At 41.7% G+C, this 17,416-nt stretch overlaps 4 annotated features.

The window, feature by feature from the left end:
• Positions 650-1,849: an enhancer, noted in NCBI's record as "MED14-independent group 3 enhancer chr17:38744874-38746073 (GRCh37/hg19 assembly coordinates)". NCBI's record gives its function as "activates an origin of replication core promoter dependent on BRD2, BRD4, P300/CBP and CDK7 cofactors, and independent of MED14, by STARR-seq in HCT116 cells {active_cell/tissue: HCT116}" and the evidence as "EXISTENCE:reporter gene assay evidence [ECO:0000049][PMID:35650434]".
• Positions 7,838-8,087: an enhancer, noted in NCBI's record as "active region_12156". NCBI's record gives its function as "activates an Ori minimal core promoter by ATAC-STARR-seq in GM12878 lymphoblastoid cells {active_cell/tissue: GM12878}" and the evidence as "EXISTENCE:reporter gene assay evidence [ECO:0000049][PMID:35858748]".
• Positions 7,934-8,079: a silencer, noted in NCBI's record as "fragment chr17:38738644-38738789 (GRCh37/hg19 assembly coordinates)". NCBI's record gives its function as "represses an EF-1alpha promoter that drives an FKBP-Casp9 reporter gene in an ReSE screen in phorbol 12-myristate 13-acetate-treated (for megakaryocytic differentiation) K562 erythroleukemia cells {active_cell/tissue: K562(+PMA)}" and the evidence as "EXISTENCE:reporter gene assay evidence [ECO:0000049][PMID:32094911]".
• Positions 8,108-8,247: an enhancer, noted in NCBI's record as "active region_12155". NCBI's record gives its function as "activates an Ori minimal core promoter by ATAC-STARR-seq in GM12878 lymphoblastoid cells {active_cell/tissue: GM12878}" and the evidence as "EXISTENCE:reporter gene assay evidence [ECO:0000049][PMID:35858748]".

Genomic DNA, 17,416 nt, shown 5'->3' with positions numbered 1-17,416 from the left:
TTATGCACTCTGAGTGTAGCCTGTTTGGGGTCAAATCAACAGAAATATCCTTCATTTTAACTTAGCACTCTTTGGCTGAGCACCAAGAATATGCCAGGTACTGTGTTAAATATGTAAGAAATAAATAAGATGCCACGTAATGGTAAGCTGATAGAGGGAGAAAAATGCATGCATGCCCATGATACAAATTTGACTAAGAGGTGCTATCCTAGCAGTGTGAACAGCATTTGTGGGTTCAGGGACTTCAAGAATTCTTCAGGAGGTGAGAGTATTTGAGCTGGGTCTTGAATAATGAGTTAGAGTGTGACACGGGAGAGAAGGAGCTGGAGCCACCTTAGCCTGACAGAAGAGCATGTGGAAAATCCCAGAAAAATGAAAGTGCACAATGCTTTTAGGGAACCCACAGGTCACTCGGAATGGCTGGAGCACAAAGTAGCTACAGTGGGGGAGTAGAGAGATTGAGGTCAGTGATGTCAACTGGGCCAGATAGAGAAGGGCTTTGAATGCCATTAAAAGCACAAGAGGAGGATGAAATAGATATGGTCTCCTTAAACAGTTGTATGGGGAGGAACAGGAGGGTTTCAGGACTCCACCTTTCACCCATCTTTTCTTTCTGACCAAAGCTCTACTGGGATTTCCTAAATGTGCATAACCTAAGCTTCTCTGAGGCCACAGTCCCACTAGGAGATGATCAATGGAATCCCCAAATGTGAGACCAGAGAGGACAGACAAGATCATCTGGTTCAATCCCCAGATAAGGAACCAGGAGAAAAGGGCCTCATGGAAATTTGGCTGGCAGAGCCAAGACTGGAACCCCACACACGTTTTCACTGCAACAGATGGTCTCAGGATCAATGAGCATCAAGATACCTGGGCTTTCTAATCATGTTTAAAATGGACAATTTCAATCCAAGTGGGAATCATGGCGGATGGGAGGCAGGACTAGATTGCAGCTCTGGACAGAGCAGCCATGTGGAGGTTTGCATTGTGAATTTTAGCTCCAGATCAACTGCAAGAACAAACCAGCCACCCTGAGAGGACCCACAAACCCTCTGAAGGAAGCGGACTGCTCCTGCAAGACCCAGGAGACAACCCAAATACTCTGGGAGGTAAAAAGCCTCAGGCAAGTTTTCAAGCCCATCTCGCCCTTCACCTGGAAACAGACTCGGTGCTGTAGGGGGAGGCACGGTGGGAGTGAGCACTTGGGTTTGCATGGGACCTGGGTGAGGCCTGTGACTGCTGGCTTTCCCCCACTTCCCTGACAACCTGCATGACTCAGCAGAGGCAGCCATAATCCTCCTAGGTACATAACTCTAGTGACCTGGGAATGTCACCCTCATCCCCTACAGCAGCCACAGCAAGACCCACCCAAGGAGAGTCTGAGCTCAGACATGCCTAGCCTCTCCCCCACCCAATGGTTCTTCCCTGTCCACCCTGGTAGTTAATGGAAGACAAAAGACATATAATCTTGGAAGTTATAGGGCCCCGCCTACCGCCAGTCCCTCTCCACACTACTACAGTTGATGCTTTCTGGAAAGTGCCACCTCCTAGCAGGAGGCCAACCAGCACAAAAATAGAGCATTAAACCACCAAAGCTAAGAACCCTCATGGAGTCCATTGCACAGCCTGCCACCTCCACCAGAACAGGTACTGGTATCCACGGCTGAGAGACCCAGAGACAGTTCACATCACAGGACTCTGTGCAGAAATCCCCAGTACCAGCCCAGAGCCAGGTAGACTTGCTGAGTGGCTAGACCCGGAAGAGAGACAATCACTGCAGTTTGGCTTACAGGAAGCCACATCCACAGGAAAAGGGGGAAAGTACTACATCAAGGGAACACCCTGTGGGACAAAAAAATCTGAACAACAGCCTTCAACAGCCCTAGACCTTCCCTCTGATAGAGGCTACCCAAATGAGAAGGAACCAGACAACCAACCCCAGTAATGCGACAAAACAAGGTTCATCGACACCCCCCAAAAATCACACTAGTCCACCAGCAATGGGTCCAAGCCAAGAAGAAATCCCTGATTTGCCTGAAAAAGAATTCAGGAGGTTAGTCATTAAGCTAATCAGGAAGGGACCAGAGAAAGGCGAAGTCCAATGCAAGGAAATCCAAATAATGATACAAGAAGTGAAGGGAGAAATATTAGAGGAAATAGACACCTTAAAGAAAAAACAAGCAAAAATTCAGGAAACTTTGGACATACTTTTAGAAATGCAAAAGCTCTGGAAAGTCTCAGCGATAGAATTGAACAAGTTGAAGAAAGAAATTCAGAGCTCGAAGACGAGTTCTTCAAATTAACCCAATCCAACAAAGACAAAAAAAAAGAATAAGAAAATATGAATAAAGACTCCAAGAAGTTTGGGATTATGTTAAATGACCAAACCTAAGAATAATCGGTGTTCCTGCGGAAGAAGGCAATTCTAAAAGCTTGGAAAACATGTTTTGGGGGAATAATCAAGGAAAAGTTTCCTGGCCTTCTAGAGACCTAGACATACAAATACATGAAGCACAAAGAACACCTGGGAAATTCATCACAAAAAGATCTTCACCTAGGCACATTGTCATCAGGTTATCCAAAGTGAAGACAAAGGAAAGAATCTTAAGAGCTATGAGACAGAAGCACTAGGTAACCTATTAAAAAACAAAACAAAACAAACCTATCAGATTAACAGCAGATTTCTCAGCAGAAATCCTACAAGCTAGAAGGGACTGGGACTCTATCTTCAGCCTCCTCAAACAAAACAATTATCAGCCAAGAATTTTGTATCCAGCAAAACCCAGCATCATATATGAAGGAAAGATACAGTTGTTGTCAGACAAACACATGCTAAGAGAATTCATCATTACCAAGCCACCACTACAAGAACTGCTAAAAGAAGCTCTACATCTTGAAACAAATCCTGGAAACACATCAAAACAGAATCTCTTTAAAGCACAAATCACACAGGACATATAAAACAAAAATACAAGTTAAAAAGCAAAAATAAACAGAAAACAAAGTACGCAAGCAACAAAGAGCATGAGGAATGCAATGGTACCTCACATTTCAATACTAACATTGAATGCAAATACCCTAAGTGCTCCACTTAAAAGATACAGAACCATAGAATGGATAAGAACTCACCAACCAACTATCTGCTGCCCTCAGGAGACTCACCAACACATAAGGACTCACATAAACTTAAAGTGGTGGGAAAAGGTATTTCTCACCACTGGTGACCACAAATGGACACCAAAAGTGTTCAGGGGTAGCTATTCTTATATCAGACAAAACAAACTTTAAAGCAACAGCAGTTAAAAGAGACAAAAAGGGATATTATATAATGGTAAAAGTCCTTGTCCAACAGGAAAATATCACATTCTAAACATATATGCACCTAACACTGGAGCTCCCAAATTTATAAAACAATTACTAATAGTCTAAGAAATGAGATAGACAGCAACACAATAATAGTGGGGGACTTTAATACTCCACTGACAGCACTAGACAAGTCATCAAGACAGAAAGTCAACAAAGAAACAATGGATTTAAACTATATCCTAGAACAAATGGACTTAACAGATATATACAGAATGCTTCATCCAACAACCACAGAACACACATTCTATTCAATAGCTCATGGAACTTTCTCCAAGATAGACCATAAGATAGGTCATAAAATGAGCCTCAATAAATTTAAGAAAATTTAAATTGTATCAAGCACTGTCTCAGACCATAATGCAATAAAACCGGAAGTCAACTCCAAAAGGAACCTTCAAAACTATGCAAATACATGGAAATTAAATAACCTGCTCCTGAATAAGCATTGCATGAAAAATGAAATCAAGATGGAAATTTAAAAATTCCTCGAACTGAGTGACAATAATGATACAACCTATCAAAACCTCTGGGATATGGCTAAGGCGGTGCTAAGAGGAAAGTTCATGGCCCCAAACGCCTACATCAAAAAGTCTGAAAGAGCACAAACAGACAATCTAAGGTCATGCCTCAAGGAACTAGAGAAACAAGAACAAACCAAACCCCAACCCAGCAGAAGAAAGGAAAAAACCAAGATCAGACCAGAACTAAATGAAATTGAAACAAAAGAATACAAAAATAAATGAAACAAGAACCTAGTTCTTTGAAAAGATAAATAAAATTGATAGACCATGGCAAGATTAACCAAGAAAAGAAGAGAGAAAATCCAAATAACCTCACTGAGAAACAAAACAGGAGATATTACAACTGACACCCTGAAATACAAAAGATCATTCAAGGCTACTGTAAATGCCTTTATGCACAGAAACTAGAAAATCTAGAAGAGATGGATAAATTCCTGGAAAAATACAACCTTCCTAGCTTAAATCAGGAAGAATTAGACACCCTGAACAGACCAATAACAAGCAGCAAGATTGAAATGTTACTTTAAAAATTACTGACAAAGGCCAGGCGTGATGGCTCATGCCTGTAATCCCAGCACTTTCGGAGGCCAAGGCGGGCAGATCATGAAGTCAGGAGATCGAGACCACAGTGAAACCCTGTCTCTACTAAAAATACAAAAAATTAGCTGGGCGTGGTGGCAGGCACCTGTAGTCCCAGCTACTCGGAGAGGCTGAGGCAGGAGAATGGCGTGAACCCAGGAGGCAGAGCTTGCAGTGAGCTGAGATCATGCCACTGCACTCCAGCCTGGGCAACATAGGGAGACTCTGTCTCAAAAATAAATAAATAAATAAAAATTACCAACAAAAAATAGTCCAGGACCAGATGGATTCACAGCAGAATTCTACCAGACATTCAAAGAGGAATTGGTACCAATCCTCTTGACACTATTCCACAAGATAGAGAAAGAAGGAACCCTCTCTAATTCATTCTATGAAGCCAGCCTCACCCTAATACCAAAACCAGTAGAGGACACAACCACAAAAGAAAACTAAGACCAATATTCTTGATGAACACAGATGCTAAAATCCTTAACAAAATATTAGCTAACCGAATCCAACAACCTATCAAAAAGATAATCCACCATGATCAAGTGGGTTTCATACAAGGGATGCAGGGATGGTTTAACATATGCAAGTCAATAAATGTGGTACACCACATAAACAGAATTTAAAACAAAAATCACATGATCATCTCAATAGATGTAGAAAAAGCATTTGACAAAATCCAGCATCGCTTTATGATTAAAACCCTCAGCAAAATCAGCACACAAGGGACATACCTTAATGTAATAAAAACCATCTATGACAAACACACAGCCAACATAATGCTGAATGGGGAAAAGTTGAAAGCATTCCCTCTGAGAACAGGAACAAGATAAGGACGCCCACTGTCACCACTCCTCTTCAACATAGTACTGGAAGTCCTAGCCAAAGCAATCAGACAAGAGAAAGAAATAAAGGGCATCCAAATCAGCAAAGAGGAAGTCAAACTGTCCCTGTTTGCTGATGATATGATAGTTTACCTTGAAAACCCTAAGGACTCCTCCAGAACTGATAAAAGAATTCAGCAAAGTTTCCAATTATAAGATTAATATACACAAATTAGTAGCTCTTCTATACACCAACAATGACCAAGCAGAGATCAAATCAAGAACTCAAGAATAGCTCCAAGAAAAATAAATAGCTTTACAATAGCTCCAAGAAAAATAAAATACTTAGGAATAACCTAACAAAGGAGTCAAAAGACCTCTACGAGGAAAACTACAAAACACTACTGAAAGAAATCAGACAACACAAACAAATGGAAACACATGCCATGCTCATGGATAGGTAGACTCAATATTGTGAAAATGACCACACTGCCAAAAGCAATCTACAAATTCAATGTAATCCCCATCAAAATACTGCCACCATTCTTCACAGAGTTAGAAAAAACAATTCTAAAATTCATATGGAACCAAAAAAGAGCCCACATAGCCAAAGCAAGGCTAAGCAAAAAGAACAAATCTGGAGGCATCACACTACCTGATTTCAAACTATATTATAAGGCCATAGTCACCAAAACAGCATGGTACTGGTATAAAAATAGGCACATAGACCAATGGAACAGAATAGAGAACCCAGAAATAAACCCAAATACTTACAGCCAACTGGTCTTCAACAAAGCAAACAAAAACATAAAGTGGGGAAAGGACACCCTTTTCAACAAATGGTGCTGGGATAATTGGCTAGCCACATGTAGGAGAATGAAATTGGATCCTCATCTCTCACCTTATACAAAAATCAACTCAAGATGGATTAAGGACTTAAACCTAAGACCTGAAACTGTAAAAGTCCTAGAAGATAACATTGGAAAAACTATTTTAGACATTGGCTTAGGCAAGGATTTCATGACCAAAACCCCAAAAGCAATTGCAATAAAAACAAAGATAAATAGCTGGGACCTAATTAAACTAAAGAGCTTTTGCATGGCAAAAGGAACAGTCAGCAGAGTAAACAGGTAACCCACAGAGTGGGAGAAAATCTTCACAATCTATACATCTGACAAAGGACTAATATCCAGAATCTACAACAAACTCAAATCAGTAAGAAAAAAACAAACAATCCCATCAAAAAGTGGGCTAAGGACATGAATAGACAATTCTCAAAAGAAGATATACAAATGGCCAACAAACATGAAAAAATGCTCAACATCACTAATGATCAGGGAAATTCAAATCAAAACCACAATGCGATACCACCTTACTCCTGCAAGAATGGCCATAATCAAAGAATCAAAAAACAGTAGATGTTGACAGAGATGCAGTGATCAGGGAACACTTCTATACTGCTGGTAGGAATGTAAACTAGTACGCCACTAAGGAAAACAGTGTGGAGATTCCTTAAAGAACTAAAAGTAGAACTACCATTTGATCCAGCAATCCCACTACTGGGTATACCCAGAGGAAAAGAAGTCATTATTCGAAAAAGATACTTGCACACACATGTTTATAGCAGCACAATTCACAGTTGCAAAATCATGGAACCAATCCAAATGCCCATCAATCAACGAGTGGATAAAGAAACTGTAGTATATATATGTATAATGGAATAGTATTCCATCTGATTAGTCTCAGCCATAAAGAGATGAATTAACAGCATTTGCAATGACCTGGATGAGATTGGAGACTATTATTCTAGGTGAAGTAACTCAGGAATGGAAAACCAAACATTGTATGTTCTCACTGACATGTGGGAGCTAAGCTATGAGGACGCAAAGGCATAAGAATGATACAATGGACTTCGGGGACTTGGGGAGAAGAGCAGGAAGGGGCAAGGGATAAAAGACAACAAATATGGTGCAGTGTATACTGCTCGGGTGATGGGTGCACCAGGATCTCACAAATCACCACTAAATAACTTACTCATGTAACCAAATATCACCTGTACCCCAATAACGTATGGAAAATTTTTTAAAAAGAATAAAAAATAAATTTTAAAAATGTACAATTTCGGTTGTGAATGTGCAGGGTTGGCCCAGCAATGGGCAGGCTGGAGGTGGGGAGTGGGCATCTTGGATGTCTAATTTATCACTCGCCATGAGACCAGCCTCAACATTTCCCACCCCTGCTTTCACCACAGAGGTTATTTCAGTCCAAGTTTCCTGTCGCCCTTGCCACCTTGCCAAGATAAAGGTCACCACCGGGTCTCACTGGGGAACAAAAGGAGGGATTCTGGGCAGCCCTCAGTCATGCACAAAAGCTCTGGGCTTAGAGCTCTTGGGGACAGTAGGACAGCAGGGCCAGCCCCACCCTCTCTGGTTGGCTGAAACTAGAATGGCGTGAGGTTTGGCTGAGCAATTCTGGAAGAATAACTGCTCCCTTCCTTTCCCTTTCACCTTTCCTCAGACCCCCGTCCTCACTCACCCCCACTTCTCCCCTCAGAGAGCTTTTGGCAACACGAAAAACACAGACACATAGACCCCTCCCTCTTAATGCCCAACAATGAACCCATGCAGCAAAACAGGAAGCATCTTCCTGTCAAGGCAAACCCATTGTTCTCTCTGTGCACACGTCCTGACAAGTCAGGAAACCGCCGCCGGGCCATGGCAACAGGTGTCAGGGTGACCTGAGGCTTCCCGCTAGCCTGTGCCAAGCCCTCCTTCCCTTTTCATGTAAGTGCCACACGCTAACCAATTGCACCACTGAGAGCTCCTCTCCTTCCCTTTTCTTCATCCTGGTGAGCCATCCTCTTCCTCCCTGCAGCCTCACAACTTATTTTCCTCACACCTGTTGGCCCTTTCCCTCTTGGTTGTCCAAGGTCCGAGTAAGACCTTAAAAGGCCCTGAACCCTATAAAGATTGCAGTCTCTCTCCAAATATAATTCCTAATACTCACCAGACAACACAAAATGTACATGTGTGCTGAAATTAAAAGAGCATCTTTTTAGATTTTCTGATTACTGAACTCTTCTCAACTTTGGGATGTCTTCATCTGGCTGGGGCCCTGTGTCCATACCAAATCTGCCTGTTGGGTTACCCCACACTGGTGGAGGCTCATTTTCGTTGGCTTCACATGGGAACAGATTATTCCCAAGTGAGATAAAACAGGGGCAAGAGGTGGGGGCAGGAGTGAGAGGTGTGATCTTGGACTTTGCCCACTAAATGACAAGTCCAGAGGGACAGGAAGCCATTGGACACTCTGGGTAGAGCCAGGACACTGCTACTATGACCATGGACTCCATATGCAAGAAAGGCAGGACTGAGTTTCTGAGCTTCTGCAGACCTGGCTCCCTCCAGGGGACTCTGGGTCTGGCTCCTCTGTCGATTCTCTCCAGATCAGAGGCCTCCTCTAGGGGTCTCAAGACTTGTCCTGTTCTTTTTCATAATAACAGGGGCTGGAGTTTCTGGTAAGCTAAGCTTTTCTTTATCCTCTGGGTAACCAAGTCATCAGTGAGGTGGTTGGACTGAATGACTATAAAGGTTACTTGTAGGTCCTTCTCCCTGCTCATTCTCAGAAACCTTCGTAAAACAGGATGGGATGTAAAGACCTGTCTGAGGGTGTCTTTCCCAGGAAGAGAGGGGGCAGCCGTGGTCTGAGCTCTTCCGACCATGCCCAACATCAGTAAAGGCAGCCTGGCATAGTGGGAAAAGCCCCTTAGCTTAGAGTCAAATATCAAGTCACTTTCCTTTCAAGTCTCAGCTTCCTCAATCATAGAATGGAAACCTGCCACACAGGGCAGCCCGAGGGCTAAATGAGATGAGGTATAAGGATGTGCTTGGAGATGTGGATGCCCATGCTATTTTCCATTGCTTGTCAAGCTCCTCAAGGCCCAGGACTAGGTTGATGGGCCTTCAAGCCCTAGCACCTGGCCTAATACCTGGCAGAGTAGGTGCTCAGTGAATGGATGCTGGATGAATGAATAGAGGGACAAATGGATAGGTAAAGTCCTAGGAAGCAGGCAATTCTGGGAAACGCTGTAAACACCACCTGTTCTAGATGCCACAGCAGCAAAGAGAGATTGCCTTCAAAGACATGGCCAAAGTCAAACATAATTCACGTGCCAAACACAGCCACACCACTGAGCAGGCAAAAAAGGCCAGACATTGGCCCCACAGGCCACATCACCCCAAAAGCCAAGTTAAACAGTATAGCTCACCCTGTCTTCTGAATTCCCAAATTAAGCAACTCAGAGAAAGTAAGCTTGCTGAGGTCAGCCCGGCAAGACTTCTGGCCTTGGTAATTTTTTTTTTTTTTTTTTTTTTTTTGAGACAGGGCCTTGCTCTGTTGCCCAGGCTGGAGTGCAGTGGCTTGATCACAGCTCACTGCAGTCTTGACTTCCCAGGCTCAAGCAATCCTCCTGCCTCTCAGCCTTCCAAGTAGAGGGCACTACAGGCCTACGCCACCACACCCGGCTAATTTTTGGATTTTTTTGGAGAGATGAGGTTTCACCATGTTGCCCAGACTACACTCAAACTCCTGGGCTCAAGCAGTCCTCCCACCTTGGCCTCCCAGAATGCTGGGATTACAGGCATGGACCACCACTCCCAGCCTGGCCTTGGTCCTTCTACTGACCACTCACCACTGCCTTCCCCCTGCACCTGGGCCCCTTCTACTCCTCTGTAGATGCCATCTTTTTTATACCCTTCCTGATTCCCCTTCTATGTGCTCCTACAGCATGTTGAGCATGCCCCCCTAGTTACCTCTTACTACATTGCACAATAATAGTGTCTTCTATTATTTTTTAAATATTGTGAAATAATTAATACTTAAAGGTGTAAAGAATAATACAATGAAGACTTTTGTAGGTCTTGAATGAAGACAAATCATTACCAGTAGATATAGCAAATACCAGTTTAAGCCCCTGCATACCTCTCTCTCTTTGCATCCCCTTCCCTCCCCATCCTAAATTTAGTGTATACTACCTCCTGCTTGTTTTTATGCTTTTACTGCTTACAGGTAATTGCTTTTTCATTTGTTCATGTGCCTCATTTTTATGAACTGAATGTTTATGTCCCCCCTAAATGCATATGTTAAAGCCCTAACCCCCAATATGGCTGCAGTTGGAGATAGGACCTCTAAGGATATAATTAGTGTTAAATGAGGGCATAAAGGTGGGGTTCTGATCCAATAAGATGTGTTCTTATAAGAAGAGACCCCAGAGAACACCCTCCCTCTCCCCTCACACATGCACCAAGGAAAGGCTATGTGAGGGCATAGCAAGAAGGAGAAGGTGGCCATCTGCAAACCAGGAAGAGGGCCCTCACCAGAAGCCAACCCTGCTGGACCTTAAGCCATTCAGCCTGTGGTATTTTGGTACAGCATCCGGAGCACAGTAATACACCCACAGTGCTTTATGTAAACTTGGCAAGGCCAGGGACCATGTGTGTTCATCTTTGTATTTGTAGAGTCCAGCACCACGCCTGGCACATAGTGTTCACTAAATATTTGTTGAATGAATAAATGACAACACTGCAGGTGAAAACAGGTACCCTAGAGTCCATTCCTTAGGAGCAAGATGTTCTCTGCTCTGCCATGATACTCAAGCTACTGCCGATACCAGGATCTGCAGTCAGTGTCCAACAAAGGAAATTTGAAAGTAAGGAAGAAAGGCATTCTCCAGACAGGGGTAAAGGGAGCGGTAGCATCTTTGGAAAAGTTTAAAGTCCCTTCATCAATCAATCAAATGTTTATTAAGCACCTGCTTATTAAGTATTCCATGTTGAACAGTCTCTACTTCCATAAGGCAATCAGTCTTTGGAAGACTAAAGACCAAGTGGCCCAAAGATGCCCCGGATATAAACAAGCACAGTGCTTTTTGGCATCTCTTATGAACATGTTCTTTGGACAGATACTTTGAAGTGTCCATGGCACTCCAATTGGAGAACATGAACTCAGAGAGCTCTCCTTCACTTATGACACAAACTATATCCACAGCACACCTTGGACACAATGGTGCCCATTCTTTTTTTTTTTTTTATACTTTAAGTTCTAAGGTACATGTGCACAACATGCAGGTTTGTTACATATGTATACGTGCCATGTTGCTGTGCTGCACCCATTAACTCATCATTTACATTACGTATATCTCCTAATGCTATCCCTCCCCCTCCCCCAACCCCACTACAGGCCCCGGTGTGTGATATTCCCCACCCTGTGTCCAAGTGTTCTCATTGTTCAATTCCCACCTATGCGTGAGAATATGCGGTGTTTGGTTTCCTGTCCTTGCGATAGTTTGCTCAGAATGATGGTTTCCAGCTTCATCCATGTCCCTACAAAGGACATGAACTCATCTTTTTTTATGGCTGCATAGTATTCCATGGTGTATATGTGCCACATTTTCTTAATCCAGTCTGTCATTGATGGACATTTGGGTTGGTTCCAAGTCTTTGCTCTTGTGAATAGTGCCGCAATAAACATATGTGTTTATGTGTCTTTATAGCAGCATGATTTATAATCCTTTGGGTATATACCCAGTAATGGGATTGCTGGGTCAAATGGTATTTCTAGTTCTAGATCCTTGAGGAATCGCCACACTGTCTTCCACAATGGTTGAACTAGTTTACAGTCCCACCAACAGTGTAAAAGTGTTCCTATTTCTCCACATCCTCTCCAGCAACAATGGTGCCCATTCAAATGACACCCTTGGCATCCATCAGGGGCTCCTTTCTAGAATTCTTGCATTGACTTTTAGGAATCTCCAGAGTGAAAGAGGGAGCAATCTCAAGGAGCTGGCTTCAGGTTTCTTGCTAGGCATGCCACACATGCTCTTAACAATAACATGAGACAGAATCTCCTGGGATAGAGAAGACAGCACATGAAACCCAGACTTATTGAACTATGCCAAATTATATTTTAAAATCTAGTTTTAAAATCAGCACTATTCAAGGCAATGCAAAGATTACCAAAAAGAGCTACATGGTACAATATTATTTTCAAGAAGTACAAACTCTATTCTAAAATAGAAAATAATTCACATGCCCTTGATGTAAATGTCAATTTGGGTGTCCCTGAAGTTAAGTGCTCTCAGAGTTCAGAGGACAAACTGTGGTATAGGTAGGGCCTGCCTGGGCCTCAAAGGATGGGTAGGATTTGGAAAGTGATACTGGGCTCCCCCTATACTCTCCCTCCATAAAGAGCAGATTTGTAGTGAATCGTCACGAACTGCATGCTAACATGCAGAGGGGAAGCTCACAATCAGTACTAAGAAATGCTAGGGATTCCCCATCACCTCACTCAGAGAACCAGCTAAGAAACTGAAACTGGAGTCTCCTGAGACCAAGTGTGCAATGTCCATGCAGCTAGAATTGGAAGGTCGGAGGACAGTCAAGGGAGGAATCAGGTCTGGGTTGGACAACACCACTTGGCATCAAGCACAGGCTGCTGAGGAAATCAGAACCAAGGAGCGGCCCTTTATCCCCCTGACAACCTGGCACATCTGCCACGAACTCTCCAGTTCTAGTCTGTTCATAAACTCTTATTCCTCTGGGACCTTCTGTGGGGAGTCTATGCTAGCTAAAGAACCAAGAAAATTCTCATGGATAAAAAAGATTATCCTGAGAAAGAAGCCTAGAGTTTGTAGGGTCTAATCCTATTGCTTTTCGGATGGGCATCCAAGAACCAGAGAGAAGTGACTTGCCCAAGGTCACCTAGAAGTTATAGGAGAGGCAGGACTGAAATACAGACAGGTCTGGCATTAAGCTCATTTTTATTTTTATTTTTATTCTTTTAGACAGAGTCTCACTCTGTCACCCAGGCTGGAGTGTAGTAGCACAATCATAGCTTGCTGCAGCCTCAAACTCCTGGGTTCAAGCAATCCTCCCACCTCAGCCTCCCAAGTAACTAGGACTGTAGGTGCTCACCACCACACCCAGCTAAGTTGTTTATATTTTAGTAGAGACAGGGTCTCACTCTGCTGGCCAGGTTGATCTCAAACTCCTGGCCTCAAATGATCCTCCCTTCTGGGCCTCCCAAAGTACTAGGATTAAAGGTGTGAGCCACCAGCCTAAACTCATTTTTTAAGGTGCATCTGGCACATGGAAAAGGACTCCAGCAGAAAGCTTCTGAAATAGTTCCAAACTGAAGTTGCCCTGACCTTTCTTACCAACACACCTGCCAATGTATAACCTCTTAGAGTCCTTCCACCTAGTTCCAGAGATTGCTGATATCCCTAAAAGTGAATCTGCTCCAAAAGCCGGTGATAAGGGCAACCAAAACCTTTGGGCTGAAGCAAAATTTTGGCAAGAATTTCTCATGCCTTCATTTGGGCAATTGGGAATAATGGAGAATGGCTAAGCAAGGGGCTGGGTGCCAGGGGAAGGTCCCAGACTTCAGTCTCAGAAGGCCAAAGCTTAGGTCCTTCTAGGCTGTCTAATCACCTCACTTTACACTTGAGAACAATGAAGCCTAGAGAGAGCAAGAAACTTACCCAAAACTACACTGGCAGCTGCCAAAGAGCTAGGCTCATGCATTACACCCCAATGGAATGTTTTTTATAAGTTTAGAGAGAATGAAAGCTATTCTACCTGCTTGTCTGTCTTGCTATCAGCCCCGTGCAATCTTCGGTTTCCTTCCCTTGTTTGAAGTCGAGTGCCATGTCAGACTTGCTCTTGACCATAATAACCGTTGACAACAGGGGTATGATCTAACCTTAACTTCTTCTATAACTTAAACTCCTTGGGGACAGTAATCACCTTGTATCAATCAGAGTCAAAGCAAACAAGAGCCACTCTAGGTATTCCAAACAGAAGAAATTTAACATAGAGAACCAGTTATACAGGTGATGGAAGAGCTGAAGCCAAACAAGGGAGGGCAAGGCCACCCAGAGATTAATAACCGCAGGAAGTTGCCACCACCCCTAGAGCTGGAGGGACACAGGGAGAAGGTTATGTTACCAAAACCCAGAAACTGGGGCAGGAGCTGGAACCATGATGGGGGTTACTTATCAAGTGCTGGTACCACAGTGGTAGGGGCTGGCTGATGGACTCTGGAATCAAAGACTTGTAGCTGCTGCTGGGATGCCAATGAAAGCATAGAGAAAAGAAACATTCTAATAATGGAAAAAGATATAACACCCAAAAAGTAGTAGTATGTATATTAGATATGTCATTCAAAAATGCTAGACTAATATCAAACAAAATAGACTTTCAGACAAAATTTGTTTATAAAGACAAAGAAGGACATTTTATAATGATAAATGGGTCAATCCAGGCTGGGTGTGGTGGCTCATGCCTGTAATCTCAGCATTTTTGGAAGCTGAGGCAGGAGGATCATTTGAAGCCAGGAGTTTGAGACCAGCCTGGACAACATAGCAAGACCTCATCTCTACAAAAAAAAAATTGTTTAAATAAATTAGCCAACCATGGTGTCATGCACCTGTAGTCCCAGCTACTCGGGAGGCTGAGGTAGGAGGGCTGCATGAGGCCAGGCGTTTGGGGTTGCAGTAAAGTATGATTGTGCCACTGCACTCCAGCCTGTGTGACAGAACAAGACCCTGTCTCTAAGAAAAAGGATGAAAATTTTTCAAAAAGAGTCAATCCATCAGGAAGACATAACAACTATAAATATATATGCACCTAAATAACAGAGCCTAAAAATATATGAAACAAATATTGACAGAATTGTCAAAGAAATAAGAGAAACACATAAAGCAAGAAATAAGAGAAACACATAATTCAACAATAATAGAAACTTAAATATCCTCCTTTCAATAATAGATACAACAACTAAGCAGTTGATCAACAAGAAAACAGAAGATTTGAACAATGCTATGAACCAACTAGACCTAACGTCTATCTATAAAACACCACCCAACAACAGCAGAATACATATTCTTCTCAGATATACATAGAACATTCTCCAGGATAGGCCATCTGTTAGGACATAAAACAAGTCTCAAAAAATGTAAAAGAATTGAGATCAGACAAAGTCTGTTCTCTGACCACAACCAGTAACAGAAGGAAATTTGAAGAATCCATAAGTATGTGGAAATGAATCAAGGAACTCAAGGGAAATTAGAAAATACTTTGAAATGAATGAAAATGAAAACACAGCATACCAAAACTTATGAGATGCAGCTAAAATAGTGCTTACAGAGAAATTAATAGCTATTAATGCCTGTATTTTTTAAAAGAAGAAAGATACCAAATTAAAAAAAAACTTTTCACTTTAAGAAAAAGAATAGTGAACCAAGCCCAAATCAAGCAGAAGGAAGGAAATAATAAAGATTAGAATGGAAAAAAATGAAATATGGAATTGGAAAAACTAGAGAAAAATTAACAAACCCAAAAGTTGTTATATCAAAAAGATTGATAAGTTTGATAAACATTTAACTAGACTTACCCTAATATCAAAACCACATACAGATATCACAAGAAAAGTACAGACCAATATCTCTCATAAGACACATATAAGATAGATGCACAATTTCTTAACAAAATATTAACATGCCAAATCCAGAAACATTACAAAAAAAATTGTATACCATGACCAAGTGATTTATTCCAGGAATTCAAGGTTGGTTTAATATAAAAAAATCAATTCATATAATACACCATATTTAATAGAATAAAGGGCAAAAACACTCAATTGTCTCAGTGGACACAGGAAAGGCCTCCAACTCCCTCCATGTCCCTCCAAAGGACATTATCTCATTCCTTTTTATGGCTGCATAATATTCCATGATGTATATGTAGCACATTTTCTTTAACCAATCTATCATTGATGGGCATTTAGGTTGATACCATGTCTTTACTATTGTGAATGGTGCTGCAATAAACATACACGTGCATGTGTCTTTATAATAGAACAATTTATATTCCTTTGGGTATATACCCAGGAATGGGATTGCTGGGTCAAATGGTATTTCTGTCTCTAGGTCTTTGAGGAATTCTATACTATCTTCCACAATGGTTGAACTAATTTACACTCCCACCAACAGTGTAAAAGCATTCCTTTTTCTCCACATCACCAGCATCTGTTATTTTTTGAATTTTTGATAATAGCCATTCTGACTGGTATAAGAGGGTCTCTCACTATGGTTTTGATTTGCATTTCTCTAATGATCAGTGTGTTGAGCTTTTCAAAATATGATTCTGGGTCACATGTATGTCTTCTTTTGTGAAGTGTCTTTTCATGTCCTTGGCCCACTTTTTAATTTTTTTTTCTTGTAAATTTGTTTAAGTTTTTATAGATGCTGGATGTTAGACTTTCGTCAGATGCATGGTTTGCAAAACTTTTTTTCCCACTGCGTAGGTTGTCTGTTCACTCTGTTGATAGTTTCTTTTGCTGTACAGAAGCTCTTTAGTTTAAGTAGATCCCTTAATTTACTTATTTGTCAATTTTTGTTTTTGTTACAACTGCTTTTGGCATCTTTGTCATGAAATCTTGGCCCGTGCCTTGGTCCTGAATGGTATTGCCTAGGTTTTCTTCTAGGGTTTTTATAGTTTTTAGTTTTACATTTAAGTCTTTAATCCATCTTGAGTTGATTTTTGTATATGCTGTAAGGAAGGGGTCCAGTTCCAATTTTCTACATATGGCTAGCCAGTTATCCCAGCACCATTTATTAAATAAGGAATCCTTTCGCTATTGCTTGTTTTTGTCACGTTTGTTGAAGATCACGTAGTTGTAGGAGTGCAGTCTTATTTCTGGGTTCTCTATTCTGTTCCATAAGTCTGTCTGTTTTTGTATCAGTACCATGCTGTTTTGGTTACTGTAGCCATGCAGTATAGGTTGAAGTCAGGTAGCATGAGGCCTCCAGCTTTGTTCTTTTTGCTTAGGGTTGGCTTGGCTATTTGGGCTCTTTTTTGGTTCCATGTGAATTTTTAAATAGTTTTTTCTAGTTCTGTGAAGAATGTCAATGGTAGTTTAATGGGAATAGCATTGAATCTATAAATTGCTTTGGGCAGTATTGTCATTTCCACAATACTGATTCTTCCTATCCATGAACACGGAATGTTTTTCCATTTGTTTCCATTATTTCTAATTTCTTTGAGCAGTGGTTTGTAGTTCTCC

This window comes from Homo sapiens, chromosome 17 (assembly GCF_000001405.40).
Source record: "Homo sapiens chromosome 17, GRCh38.p14 Primary Assembly".
In the NCBI taxonomy this organism is placed as follows: Eukaryota; Metazoa; Chordata; class Mammalia; order Primates; family Hominidae; genus Homo; species Homo sapiens.
Note: the sequence above shows the minus strand (reverse complement) of the source record. Positions and strands in the feature narration are given on the sequence as shown.